The following is a 14418-nucleotide window of genomic DNA, read 5'->3' as shown; positions in this document are numbered from 1 at the left end:
GTTAAATAAGATATGTCTCTGATTGACAGCATAAGAACAAATTATTTCACATACTGCTGGCCTTTGGGCGGAAAAACTCTTAAATATAGATATAAAGGTTTATTGCATTTTATTAAATGTTTAAATAATGACTTAAAAGATTTATGTTCCATAGTTTATGAATAATGAATAGCAAACTTACATTTTATGTGCCTTGAAAGATTTCCATAAATGTTAAAATTTTATATAAATTAGAAATTGATATGGAATATATATCTCAAATTAATATGTTGTGAACATAAAATGACCTTTAATTTTATCATATTTAGGATATTCATTGTTAAAATAAAAATTATGAAATGCCATTAAGAAATGCTTTGTGCTTAAAATCCAATATGTAATAAACACAATGAAATATATACTCATCTTTTAAATACAACTTATGTTTTATGCATAAAAATGAGTTTAAAGATTATTATTAATAAGACTTCTTAAATGATCAAAGACTTCTCTCATGAGCAGCAAAAGCTCTAATGATTTGTTTTGATTGTTATGAAACATGAAGTCATGTTACGGTACACAAGAGGCAGTTTAAGTTTTCCACTGGTCTCTGCTTTTCTCTCAGCTTAGTGTCCCCACCAAATTAATAGACATTTAGATTGATAACTTAGTAAATATATCTGTTAAGAATAGAAAGTTAACAGCAATAATACACTTAATATTCTTAGTGTGTTTCATACAATGCCATAGAATATCAGTTAAACTAAGTACTTAATTCATTTCAAAATACAACATTATAAAATAAAGAGTAAGAAAAAAATGAAAACATCTAATTATAAACTGTGGACTGTAAGCTGTTTTACATGGACTAAAATACCTACTGTTCTCCCATTAAAAAGTATTCCCATTATAGAATCCAATTTTAAGAGTTCTGATCTAATATTAATATGATACTTCTCTCAGATAAAAAATGTTCACTCAATGCCCAGTCTCGCCCAACTATATCTCTCAACTTTACCTAGTGATGTGCTTCATTGGATGCATGTGATCTTTATAACCTGACACTATTCTCAATTATTAAAGGAATCATCACATCTAGCATATATCAGCGTATGTTGAAGTGAATATATCAATTCTCAAAAAATGTTGGCACATATATTTTAACTTCTGACATGGATGATAGATGTAGCATTATCCAGCAATGACCTAGGGCCAATACTCAGCATGTATTATCGTAAATTACATTTACTAAATACTCAGGTTCCATGCCTTCTAGGCAAGTGTATAGTTGACACATCTAACAACAATAACCAGCATACCGTGAGAATGATGCATCTGACAGCAATAACTTATGACCGTTACCATGTGGAGGTTGCTAGCGGAAGGGCACTAAGTGAAGGCGCTTTGTAAACTGCATGCCTTTTATAAGTGATTGCAGTTCTCCTGTCCAGCCTCCTGCCACTGGACCATCCCTGTATGTAAGTTCCCACTAATAAACCATATGTCTTGTTTGCTGGTTCTGGGTCTTTGCTTTGGTCTCTTGAACCTGGTACCATCACTACTGAAGTTAATAGCAGTCTGGCATACCAATGCATGATGAGATTTCATGCTTCCAAATCTCCAAAATCAGGCAAAGACATGTGACCTTTATTTGGCCAGTAAAGTGTTAACAAAAATGTTAATTACAGGCAATAGCAGCCAGTGCTAGATTCAGCACTCTCTCTTCTTGTTTCCAAGTGACCATGAAACCAGGGCTTATGATTCCCTATTTTTTTTTTTTTTTTTGAGGTGGAGTCTCACTCTGTCCACCAGGCTGGAGTGCAATAGTGCAGTCTTGGCTCACTGCAACCTCCGCCTCCCAGGTTCAAGCAATTCTCCTGCCTCAGCCTCCTGAGTAGCTGGCATTACAGGTGTGCGCCACCATGCCCAGCTAATTTTTGTATTTTTAGTAGAGACAGGGTTTCACCATGTTGGTCAGACTGGTCTCGAACTCCTGACCTCGTGATCAGCCTGCCTCGGCCTCCCAAAGTGTTGGAATTCCAGGCGTGAGCCACTGTGCCTGGCCAAGATTCCCTCTTAATCTGAGTGGAAGGTAAAAGAAACTCCCTGCTGACCCACGTTAAATATATAGCCTGAGTCAGAAATAATTCTTCATTGAATTAAACCACTGGAATTTTCAGGGCTAACAGTAAAGCATTAACTGCCAATTTTGACTAATACAACCACTGAAGAGAGCCTGAATGTGTTAGTCACATGTGTATGTTTGATAGGCTTTATAACCTAATCAATACCTACCTATATATTACTTTTAGCATGAAGCAATGAGACAAAATTCAAAGTTGTCATCTATTTAAATTTTATGTAGAACTGAGCATTTTCTTCTACTTTTTTTCTGAAAGTATATAAACTTACTCTACACAACATTTTCTTCTCTCCTAAAATAATGATGGAGAAGATCAAAGCCAGCCTTTTCAATTCATGACGTTCATAAAATCTGCAACTAAGTTAGTTCAACAACTGTGAAAAGCAGTGTGGTGATTTGTGTGGTGATTCCTCAAAGAACTACAAATAGAATGACCATTCAACTCAGCAATCCAATACTGGGTATATACTCAAAGGCATATTAATTGTTCTACCATAAGGACACATGCACTGGTATGTTCACTATAATAGCAAAGAAATGGAATCAACCTAAAAGCCCATCAACGGTAGACTCATTCAAGAAAATGTGGTACACATACACCTTGGAATACTATGCAGCCATAAAAAAAACCACAGGACCATGTCCTTTGTAGGAACATGGATGGAGCTGATGGCCATTATACTTAGCACACTAATGCAGGAACAGAAAACCAAATACTGCATGTTTTCACTTATAAGTGGGAGCCAAAGAATGAGAACATATAGAAAAAGGGGAACAACAGATAATGGGGTCTACCTGAGGAAAGAGGATAGGAGGAGAGGTTCAGAAAAAAGAACTTTTGAGTACTATGCTTAGTACCCTGGTGATTTCCTGAGTCACAAGTTTACCTAAGGACAAACCTACACATGTACCCTTGAACCTAAAACGAAAGTTAAAATATTTTAAAAAGCTAGAACGCTCACTGGACAAAATTAACATTAAAAATATTACTCAAATTAGACCTCTCATCATCCAAGTCATAGCATTTATTCACTTTTGGTAAATTGATTCATTTGTAGATCAATTAACTATTGTTAATTTGAAGATTATATTTTACCATATTTATTAAATTAGAAGCATTTTGCTTCTACATATACTTACACTCAAGTAACTTGGCATTTAAATGCTCATAATAATTATTAATAAAATGCAAACACATTTCATTTATTTATATATTTCATGTTAAGCAATTAACAAGCAAACAAACTATGCAGTGTTCAAATTTCTTGTAATGACACACTGTCCATGGAAAATGGTCTTATGTAAATCCCTTCAAAATTAAATTTACATTAAATCTGAACTCATGATTTGTTAATGGTATAAAAAGTCTTAACATAGGAAACTATCACCTTCTGAATATAAAAATCATATTTTTCTAGCTGCAAAGAGAGGAATGCAAGTATAAGGAGTATATTCAAATGAATGGCTATCTTCCTAGTTATAACACATTATTTTCTGTTATATTTTTCTAATTTCTTTACTTGTATGTATTAATTTGCTTTACTTGTATGTATTAATCTGTTTTCACATTGCTATAAATAACTGAGAGACTGAGTAATTTATAAAGGAAAAAGGTTTAATTGACTCACAGTTCAGCATGGCTGGGGAGGCCTCAGGAAGCTTATAATCGTGACAGAAGGCAAAGGGGAAGCAAGACAACCTCTTCACAAGGTGGCAGGAAGGAGAAGTGCCAAGCCAAGGGGGAAGAGCACCTTATAAAACCATCAGATCTCATGAGAACTCAATCACCATCACAAGAACAGCCTGAGGAACCACCCCCATGATTCAATTACCTCCACCTGGTCTCTCCCTTGATACATGGGATTACAGGGATTATGGAGATTACAATTTAAGATTAGATTTGAATGTGGACATGAAGCCTAACCATATCATTATGTTTAAAGCTGTGAAGTCCATTAAGGGGATCTCGTCTACAATGTCAGCCCCTTTATAACATAAGCTGATCAATGATGTCATATTGTAACTGCAGGACAAATTTTAAGAAATAGAAAACATTTATTGAAGAAATACAAAGCTTAAAAACCCCTAATTACAGCAGGATGAAAAACTTTTTTCCATGCCTGTAACAGATCTTCTTCTTAATGACATACATTTTTATTAGACTCTTGGCTGAATTGTGGTGCATTTTGTCAGGCTGGCGCACAAAGCGATTGCGGTTTTTGCCATTAAAAGCAATGGCAAAAACCGCAATTAGTTTTGCACCACCCTAATGGAACAGGATTCACATACAAAACAAATTTTGAGAATCGCTTGTTGAAATATCTTTTATAATATATGTGCCCTAAAAATCTGTTGTAAAAAACTATTACTGAAAATTTGCTTCTTGTTCTTGAATATGTACAGAGGTCCCATTTTCTATTATAGTATTTTAATGAGATTTAAGTAAAGCTAATTCTAAATGACGGAAGATATTAACAGTAAAATTTATTACTTTGAGCAGAACATTGAATATTTTAAAGGCATAAGTAAAAATGCATACATAGAGAAAAAGTTTCTGGCATTTTACGTAATTAGGTGTATCTCAAAAATTGTGATTTTACTAAAAGAAAAATAGATGAGCTTTTTAGAATCACAATTAAAATTCTGAGTTTCTCACATCCCTTTATTTTACCAAAATTGATGACCTGGTTGTCAAAATTTATTATTTTCTAGTCACATTCTAATTCTCTTAAATAGAGTTTATACCTATATTCTGATTAAAGGCTATATTATCCAGACTTCTCTCTATTTATTCTGCTTATCTTGTGCTGCTTCATGGACATTTAGTTCATAGAACTTTTTTTGTAGAGATATTCCCTTATCTTCTTTGATTTTTTTTTTAAATGCATGAAAGTATGCTTGACCTTGTAATCTAGGTCTGAAACTTATAAACAGACATATATTCTTTTGTTTTTATTTGTGTTACTATTCATTTTTGTTGCTTCAGGAAACTCCTGATATTTGGTGTAGTCAAATAATTTGAGAAACACTGTGCTCGTAACACTCTATTGTATATCTTTCCCTTTGCTGCTGATATGGCAAGGAAAGGCTTACATTTCGAAATGTCTCAATGTCTTGAACTATATGAAGTTAAGCTTTAATGAAGCAAGTATACATCTAACTAAAGAGGCGAAGATACAAATATATGCGTGTCTAAACATTCCCTTTTATCACACCTATGGCCCATTAGACTATAAATGAAAAGGAATGAGAGTCATTAACTGTGAATCAGGTGAACTCTGTTGGTCTACAGCATGCTGTGCTTAATTGCATACATTCCTGGATCCTTCGCCACAGCTTTTACCATTATGTTCGGTGCTAGCTTACCTCTCTCCATTCTGTCTGCTACTGTCCCCTTCAGACAAGCATCCTCTCTCACCTTGATTAATACAGTAGCCTCCCGCTGGCCTCTGTGAAATGTAAACTTTTCTATGTTCATTTTTGCCTGATGATCTATCACTGCAGACATCTCCTTTAGCATTCCCTTAAAACATGACTCCGCTTTGCCAATACATTTCCAAAGGGAGTTCAGGGCCACATATTTGCCTGTCATTTATTTTTTACTCAACTAAATTTGTTCAAAAATTTAGTAAAATCTTCCTCCTAGTAATTCTGTGTATAAAATTTAGTTCTGCTCTGTGGAGCTATCCAGATTAAAGCTGTCTTCATCATTTTACATCTGTGGAAACATTGCTTCCTGGCATCTCTTCATCTATTACTTCCACTTATTACAAATATGGCCTGGTTTTCAGAAACATTCACACTGCTTTATCCTCTTCTAAGCACAGTTTCACTTGCCAATACCTCAATTAACAGATGACAACTAAATAGAAAACTCCCAGAATGGCTGTGTGAATTCTATCTCCAGTGAAATAACCATAACTGGGGAAAATTATTAAAACAACACTTACAACTATTTAAAGTCTCTGTTAATTGTCCTAAGGGCACACAGAAAATGAAGATACATTTATTCAAGAAAATCTACTAACTCTTAGAATACCAAGCAGCCTGTGTCATTTAATACGGGATCGATGCCCTCTCCATCTCTCTAGTTCAACACAAAAGAAACTCTACCACTAACAGAGCTACTGAGAACAGAGGGTTCCCTCTGTTCCCAGCTCCCAGTCAGGGCTGAAGTTTCTTCCTGGAAGTTGCAGGCCACCAAGATTTATCACATACACCCAGCTCTGTGTTGAAGGAGATCTATTCAAGGCAAGAGCAGCCAAAAGGCCTTGGACTATCTTTCTTCATCCAGTTCCCACTCCTGAGGCAGATCTATGCCAAATGTGATAGACCAAAAATACTAGGGTCCCCATTGCCCTGCGCAGCACCCTCGTTGTAAGGTCAAGGTGTTATCCTGAGAGAAGCAGGTCATTGTCCTTCTGGTATTTCCTTGAAAATTCATGGCTATTATTAGTACCCTGTGATATGATTCACCAGAATCTATTGATAAAAACTCATTTAACAAAGTAGTTAAAATAAAAAAAATATTATTGTGCTTTAAATGCCTCTTAAATATTTCTTTTGCCTTTTCTAGTTTAAACATTTTTTTCCACATAAACAAGTAACCATTGACTCTGCTGCTCCTATATCCTTTCATGACCATTATGAAAAATAGTATGGAGATTCTGCAAGAAACTAAAAATACAACTATCATATGATTCAGCAATCCCACTTCTGGGTATAGACCCAAAGGATGTGAAATCAGTATGTTGAAGAGGTGTCTGTACTTCCATTTTCATTTCAGCATTATTCACAATAGCCAAGGTATAAAATCAACCTAAGTGTCCATCAAAGAATGAATGGATAAAGTGTGGTACCTATACACAACAGAATACTACTCAGTCTTAAAAAGGAAGAAAATCCTGTCATTTGCAACAACATGGGTGAACCTTAAGGCAGTAAATGAAAGAAGCCAGGCACAGCAAGACAAACACTGCATGATCTCACTTAGGAAGAATCTTAAAAGGTTGACATCATAAAAAGAGAGAGTAAAATGATGTTACTAGAGGCTGGGGGGCTAGGAGAATTAGGGCAATGTTGGTTAAAGGACATAAAATTTTAATTAGGCAGGAGTAAGTTCAAGAAATCTATTGTTCATCATGATGATCATAGTTAATAATGATATATTATATCCTTGAAAAATGCTAAAACAGTAGATTTTTTAATGTTCTCACCACAAAATATGGTCAAGTATGTGAAGTCATGCAGATATTAGACAGCTTTTGTCTGAGCCACTTCACAATACGAACATAAATCAAAACATTATTGTACAACACAATTAATTTTTAAAAAGTGCTGAAGGGAAATTTTATTTTATTTGTTTTTGCTTAAAAGCATTTAGTAAATACTGAGGACATTTAACAACATATCCCTAAAAACATTTCCCATATAGCGATGTTTATTAAATCCCTTTTTTTACACTGCATTTTGTTACATATTGGAAACTATTTGAGAAACGAGAGGTAATTGCAAACATGACTTGACCTGGTTCAAACCCTAAGAGCTTTTAAAACTCCAATGTTTAAATGGAGAAAATTGTAGTTTTCTGGTACAATAAAAATATTCTCAGTCATAAAAGATCACTACCAAAAAATGGTTATTTTTATATTGAGGATAGTCCCTTAAAAGTGTAAAGAAACAATTACAGGTTAGCTCAACAGACCTGTCCCTAGACTGATACCCAGCATCCCATTAATTCAAAAATTATGTGAAAATTCGAGTCATAATCATACTGTTATTATAAACAAAAACCAAATAAGTTATAATAAGCTAATTTAGTTTAAAAAATGAAGGTGAAATTAAAATAAAACAAACTGAGCTCATTCAAAATAAATAACCTGTTGTAATTTCAGAGCCTTTGTTTCTTCTCTTTAGCATAAGTGTAGATCATAAAAATTGCAAAAGTCCCTTAAGTTATTCATCTTACAGAATAGTTGTCAGATCAAATGAAGTAATAAAAATAATAGCAACTGTAGCATTATTAACAGCTAACATGTATTGACTCCTAAAACATGCCAAGGGCTACTCCAAAGGCTGTATATGCAGTATCTCGTTTAATCCTCCCAACAAACATATAAGGTAGGTATTTTTATTTCCATTTCATCATATAAGGAGGAAAAAGGCACAGAAAGTTTATGTAGCTTATTCAAGTTCAAAGACCAAGGGCTAGTGCCAGGTCCCAAACAGTCCAGTGAAGGAACTCAGGCTCCTGAGCAACAGGCTTTGCTTCTTCCTGAAGGTGTCACGCTTGCAAAGTCCTTGTAAGTCTATGCAAGCAGTTACCCTTACATAGACTCTTACATGGGACATTGTGATGCTCCATGAAAGAGTAAAGGTCGTCTGTTCTGCTTAATAAGGCAACCATATGGTGACATGGAAAGTGCATGGACAGAAAAACAGGTTTGATTCCAAGTTCTGCCATTTATCAACCATGTGTGATCTTTGGCCAGTTAACTAACCTCTCTGAGTCACATTTTCTAAATCAAAAACTGAGAATAATAATGCTGTATCAGTTTTCTAGGGATGTCATAACAAAATACAATAGACAGGGTGATGGCTTAAATATGTATTTTCTCACAGTTCCGGAAGTTAGGAGTCCAAGATCCAGGTGTCAACAGATTCTTCTGAGTCCTCTCTTCTTGGCTTGCAGACAGACTCCTTTTCTCTGTATCCTCACATGAGCATGTTAGTCTGTGTTTTCTGTGTCCTAATCTCCTCTTCTTATAAGAACACCAGTCATACTAGATTAGGGTTCCCCCATGACCTCATTTTACTTTAACCACCTCTTTCACAGCCCTATCTCCAAATACCTACAGTCACATTTTGAGATACTAGGGGTTAGAACTTCAATATCTGAGCGGAGGGGCGTGCACAATTCAGCTCATTGTAGTTATCTTTCAGAGTTAAGGTAAGGTTATGAAAAGGTAAGCCAATTGCCTAGAAATTAGGAAGCCTCTAAACTTTAATATCTGTATCGTACACCAGTAAAGTCAGTATTATTTGGCGGTCTGTTACCTTTTCTTAGCTGTATACATTGACAGGAATATGCATACAGTGTAAAGGCTAATGTGACAATAAAGGGTTAACACATGGACAAGTTTTGATTTTTAGAAAGATGAATACTATTTTTATTCAACAATTTAAGGTCATCTTTCATTGTGTTAGAAGGCCATCTAAGGAAACAGGTATAAAATAAACATCCTTACTGATAGCAAATCATTAATTCTGCATACACTTCAAATCATGGTATATGTAGTTCAATGGGACATTAGAAACTGCTTGATCAAACACGCAACCACATTTACTTCTCAAACGCAGAACGTGAGCTTGACACTAGTTAAGTAACTTGTCCTAAGACACACATACAGTTAGTTACTGGCATAGCAGTTTCTCATTCCTAGTTCATTGTTCTTCCTTCTATGCTCTACTGTCTCCTAAGATTTTCCTGGGATCATGGTCTTTACAATTTCCTGGAGTGATTATTTGTTTTAGAAATAACACTTAATATCTAGAGAGCTTCACAAGTAGCTGCCTTCCAAATTGGCTTCTTCAACCTCAGTCAAATATAAGCTAAAACCTCCTTAAAAAAATCTGTGACTTCATCTTTCAATAGATTACCAAAAAACATCCTCACTAGTACCTGCTGACAAAAATATCACCCCTCAAATAAGGCACATTTTTCTAGTTGACACACATAATATGATTAATCTAATAATCAAGATTCATTATATCTCAAATGATGTAGAACATGCACACATTTTCCTAATAGTGTTTCTCAAATGTTGCTTGAACAAACAGCAGGACTCAAATAACCTTCCAAAATGCCTCAGTGTTATTTGCATACCTGGCTTAACAGTGATGAGTAAAAGGAAGAGCAACTCAATTACAACTCCTTTGGGGACTCCTTGGGGCTGCCTTCACTTAAGAAAAACACCTTCAAAGAGACAAGCACTGTAATAATTTTCTTCCATAGTTCCTTCAATAAGGAATTAGCCCAGAAGTAATGTCACCCTTCAGGAGAAGCTATTGATAGGATCTAGTCTCACTTCCTCTCTTACAGGCTCTCCTCCAACAAAGTCAGGTTTTGAAATGAGAAAGCAAGATTAAACTTTGATCTAATCTGATGGGGAAGAAGCAGGAACAACAGAAAGCACAGACCTTGGATTTAAAGAGAGCAGCACTCAAATAGAGACATCCTCTTCACAAGCCTTGTGACTTTACCAGTAAAAATAGAGATAATGGGACCTACCTGTTGGTTTGTTGTAAAGATATAATAAGATAATGTATTAAAAACATGAAACCCTGTGCCTGGCATGGAATAAGCATTTCTTCATGAAATAAATTATTGAAAAGATTATAAGAAGAATGAGGATGATGACGAGTCATTGTTTTTCAAACAGATCGAACTGACTGGTGGCCCAGAGGGAATTTTTATCTCTGAATTTAGAAAAACAATTACTGAAGCCCCACTTGCAGCCTTAACAATTTATTTACAAAGTTATCTTTAGACAGGTAATAGAACACAATGCCCAGTCCACATTTCACCTACCCACTCTCGGATCTGAAGCTGGTCAAAGAGGTTTCAGTAAGTTCAAGATGATTCTCCCATTAAAAATAGTGTTCTCAAAGTGTTCAGTAAGAGATAGAGAGCCAGCAGTGTGTGAAATAGGAGGATGGAAAGGAGATCTGCTGGCAGGGCATTCAGTAAAAGGGGCACTGTCTATAACCAAGGGAAGAAAATACTCTGAATCACTTGACATCCATAATGTGTAGTTTTCAGTATTTATCATTAATAAGATATTTGTAGTAAGATATTTTGTCAATCATGATGCTGTCTTACATAAATTCAAAGAAATTTTTAACTTGAAAATGTTGGGGGTTCTTGCAGCTAGAGAAAAACAAAATACAAACAAGTGTCTTAAATTTAACTCAAAGAGATAAGGGATTGGTGATCACCACACAATTCGTTAGCAGAAAAACAAGGACTAGAAGCCAAGGTTGCTGGTGTACAGTCTCCTACTATTTCCACCAGCATAGTCCTTCTCTAAGCTAGATAGACATCCTTACCTATATCAAGAGAATTCATTACAGTAGGAGTTAACAGTAACAATAAAAATAGTAACAAACACTTACTATATACTAAACAACCTGTTATATGTTTTGCATGTATTACTTTGTCATTTAATATGTACAAAAACAGTACAATTTAGATACAATTATCTCTGTTGTACTGAGGAGGAAACTTAGGCTGAGATAAGTTAAGATATTGAATCTGTAAGAATTATAAGAAGAAAAAAGAAAAAATATTCAAGAGTACACTTTGAGAAAATTAACTGTCTTTGGAGAACAATCTGTGCTTACAACCATTATATGATCATTGCCATTTCTTTCTTGAAAACATTGTCTCCTTATCTTTCATTTACAGTAGCTTATACATCTACTAATAGAATATGTTCTAATTACTTCTCAGGAATTGTGCTATCTCAATCAGCAAGTGATATTCTGATTCCCTTGGAATCACTTCCAGATATAAACAACATAAAATTTAGAGTCAAATAAACCAATTTTGCTAAGGGTTTTGTTTGTATTTTTTTCTTTTCTTTTTTCATTTTTTAAAACATGAGCACACTGCTTACAAGTAGCAGACAAAGGAATTCAATACTGTGTGGCACAAGGTGTTTGACATAACAGCAAACAGCTACAAATTGTTTCATAAATCAATAATGCATGCTCCTATCTAAACCTGAAACAACAACAACAAAAAATCCCCTAAAAGTCATAACAATGGTGATAGCCAACATTCAGTAATGCTAAATTCACTTCCTCAGGAATGCCATTCAGTAGTGCAAGATTCATTTTCTTGGGTATGTTGATTCATATTTATTTTAAAAGACAAATAAAACAAGCCATAAAATGGTCAGAGGATACTGACCGGGGGTCAAAATGGAGGGGATGCTGTGAAATCACTTCTTGTTGCTAAGATTAAGTCATGAAGAATTATTCTTTTGAATGTCAAGAGACTTGGTCTAGTATCCTGGATATAAAAATGTTAAAAGATGCTGGCTCTTGAATTGGTACTGACTCCCACCACTTAAAAAAGGCTACCTGGCATTTTCTTGAATTTTTCAATTCCACTTTGCCTTTGCATAGACCGGTTATATGCAAATTTGGTTATTTTGTTGAAAATTTAGACTTTTACCCTTACAGCCTTGTATTATTAAAAAGTAGTGTCTTATAAAACATTCTGGAATTTCTCATAAACATTCATTTATATGCATTAGATAAAAATCTGTGCTGTCAATAGCTTGTGATAAAAAGTGCCTATGAAAACAGAAGAGACGGGAGATATTTAGGCAAATACAACCACAGACTCTCAGCTTTTGATTGTAGTTTAGAGGTCATCGAGTCCAAGCCCTTACCTGGTGCCAGGTGCCTTCTATACAGTCACTATTTGAATATTTGAACCAGGAGAAACCTGGTGGATCTAATTGTTCATCAGCCCTAATTATTAGCAACTCTTTTCTTATTATGATGGGGAATCCTTGGGAATATCTTCTTTATGACTCACCTGATAACAAGGAATAGAGTTAGTTTTAATGGAAATTAGACCAAGATTATTATGTTTGGGTTTAAAAAAAGACACATAAAAAAGTATGCACCCCTTTCCAGAGCATAAATCAGATATATACAACTAGGGAGAGGTAGGCAGAATGTTTGAAAAATTCATGCTTCAAACCTCTTTGTTTAGAGATCATGTGTGCTTTATTTTTAGATTTCAGCATCCCCAGTGATGAATTGGAGTTGGGCTTAAATATGGCCACATGGGCACAATTTCTACCCAGAGAGAAGTAATTCAAGGCTTCAGTGCCTTCCACTCCCACCCCTCCAGGAGTGATTGGCTGACTAATACTGTCAAAGGACTAGCTGTAATTAGTGATCCCAAAGTAAGTCATCTGTCTATACCTTGAGCTATGGCATCTCTGGGACCCAAGAAAGGTTAGACAGTTGGAGAATGTCACCTTCATGCAGTAGGCATGACAAGATTGGGTGATAGCTATTTTTTGCTAGCCATAATATTTGATTTTAAAAAGTAAACAATAAAATATTTTGCCCAATCTCTATTCTTACTGTCTTGAAATTTCATTACAATCAAAATAATAAAAATATTGTCTTTCCTAGAAAGTGAAAAGTTATCTAAATATGATAAATGATGCTGCAGTCCCCTAATCCCAGTTGCTTAATTCAGTGAAGATATTTCACTGTACATATATATCATGAGTTAGCATAGTTACTGAGAAACCTAAAGTGATGGAAAACTTCCCATCTTTAACTGCATTATCATGAATATGCTGCCTGCTTGATATACATTGCAGGGGGAATGATCGCTGGTATATCTCACAGCAGCAAATAGATGTCATAGCCCAGGAATAATGCACATCCTTCTCCTCATGCCACTGGTCAGAGGTAATCTCATGGAAATGTGCCAGGAAAAGAGGCCAACTTCATATTGATAAATACTGTAAGGCCTATCACATTACAACTCAGGTCCCATCAGACTTTTTATTCTCCAGTCTAAACACTCCTAATTCACATATTCTTCAAATGGTATGGTTTTAATTTCTCTTCTCCTGGCTTACTTCTACTTGCTGTTCTACTTTAAAGATTTTCAGCATTGATATGTGAACTCTTTGAATTCATTGGCAGGATATGGTAACCATATTTATTTCAGGAAAAAAAAAAGATCGAGCTTTCAATAGTTTCTTAAAGGAGTTCAGGGGCCATTACTCAGGTCTCTTGATTTTCTTTCAATATGATACCCAGTAGACACAACATTCTGGTTAAGATTTGAATAGCATTATTCTATCACCTATTCTGGATATATTTTTAAGACTATTATAAAATAATAAAAATGCGTATTCAATCTTTTGATATATTGTTGCCTTACACTGAGCTTATTGATCAAGCAAAGTGTATACTCCTTGCACTGCTGACAAATTTTGCTCTTTTTCAGTCAAACGATTTATGGTAGCTTTACTTTTTATTATATTTTTAAACAGCATTCAAAGCTATTCACTATTGTATTCAGGGGCTCAAGGTTTCCATATTTCTAATTCTCAACTCTAACAAAAAGCATATTAGCCAGCTTTTCCATTCAACTTTGGGTCTTCTGCATACCGTCTGTATTGTTATATCAATCATCTACACAAACATTCGAACAGTTCTGTGCTAAGGGACAAGCCCTAGAATATACAAAT

General features: G+C 34.9%; 2 annotated features.

The window, feature by feature from the left end:
- Nucleotides 4988-5714: an enhancer, noted in NCBI's record as "OCT4-NANOG hESC enhancer chr10:54683191-54683917 (GRCh37/hg19 assembly coordinates)". NCBI's record gives its function as "activates a minimal SCP1, AML or CMV promoter by ChIP-STARR-seq in naive H9 embryonic stem cells {active_cell/tissue: H9 hESC(naive)}" and the evidence as "EXISTENCE:reporter gene assay evidence [ECO:0000049][PMID:30033119]".
- Nucleotides 5242-5536: a silencer, noted in NCBI's record as "tiled region #495; HepG2 Repressive non-DNase unmatched - State 24:Quies, and K562 Repressive non-DNase unmatched - State 24:Quies". NCBI's record gives its function as "represses a minimal TATA promoter and a strong SV40 promoter by Sharpr-MPRA in HepG2 and K562 cells {active_cell/tissue: HepG2 | K562}" and the evidence as "EXISTENCE:reporter gene assay evidence [ECO:0000049][PMID:27701403]".

The sequence above is a fragment of the Homo sapiens genome, chromosome 10, assembly GCF_000001405.40.
Source record: "Homo sapiens chromosome 10, GRCh38.p14 Primary Assembly".
Classification (NCBI taxonomy): Eukaryota; Metazoa; Chordata; class Mammalia; order Primates; family Hominidae; genus Homo; species Homo sapiens.
The sequence above is the reverse complement of the archived record's forward strand: the minus strand, read 5'-3'. Positions and strand labels throughout refer to the sequence as shown.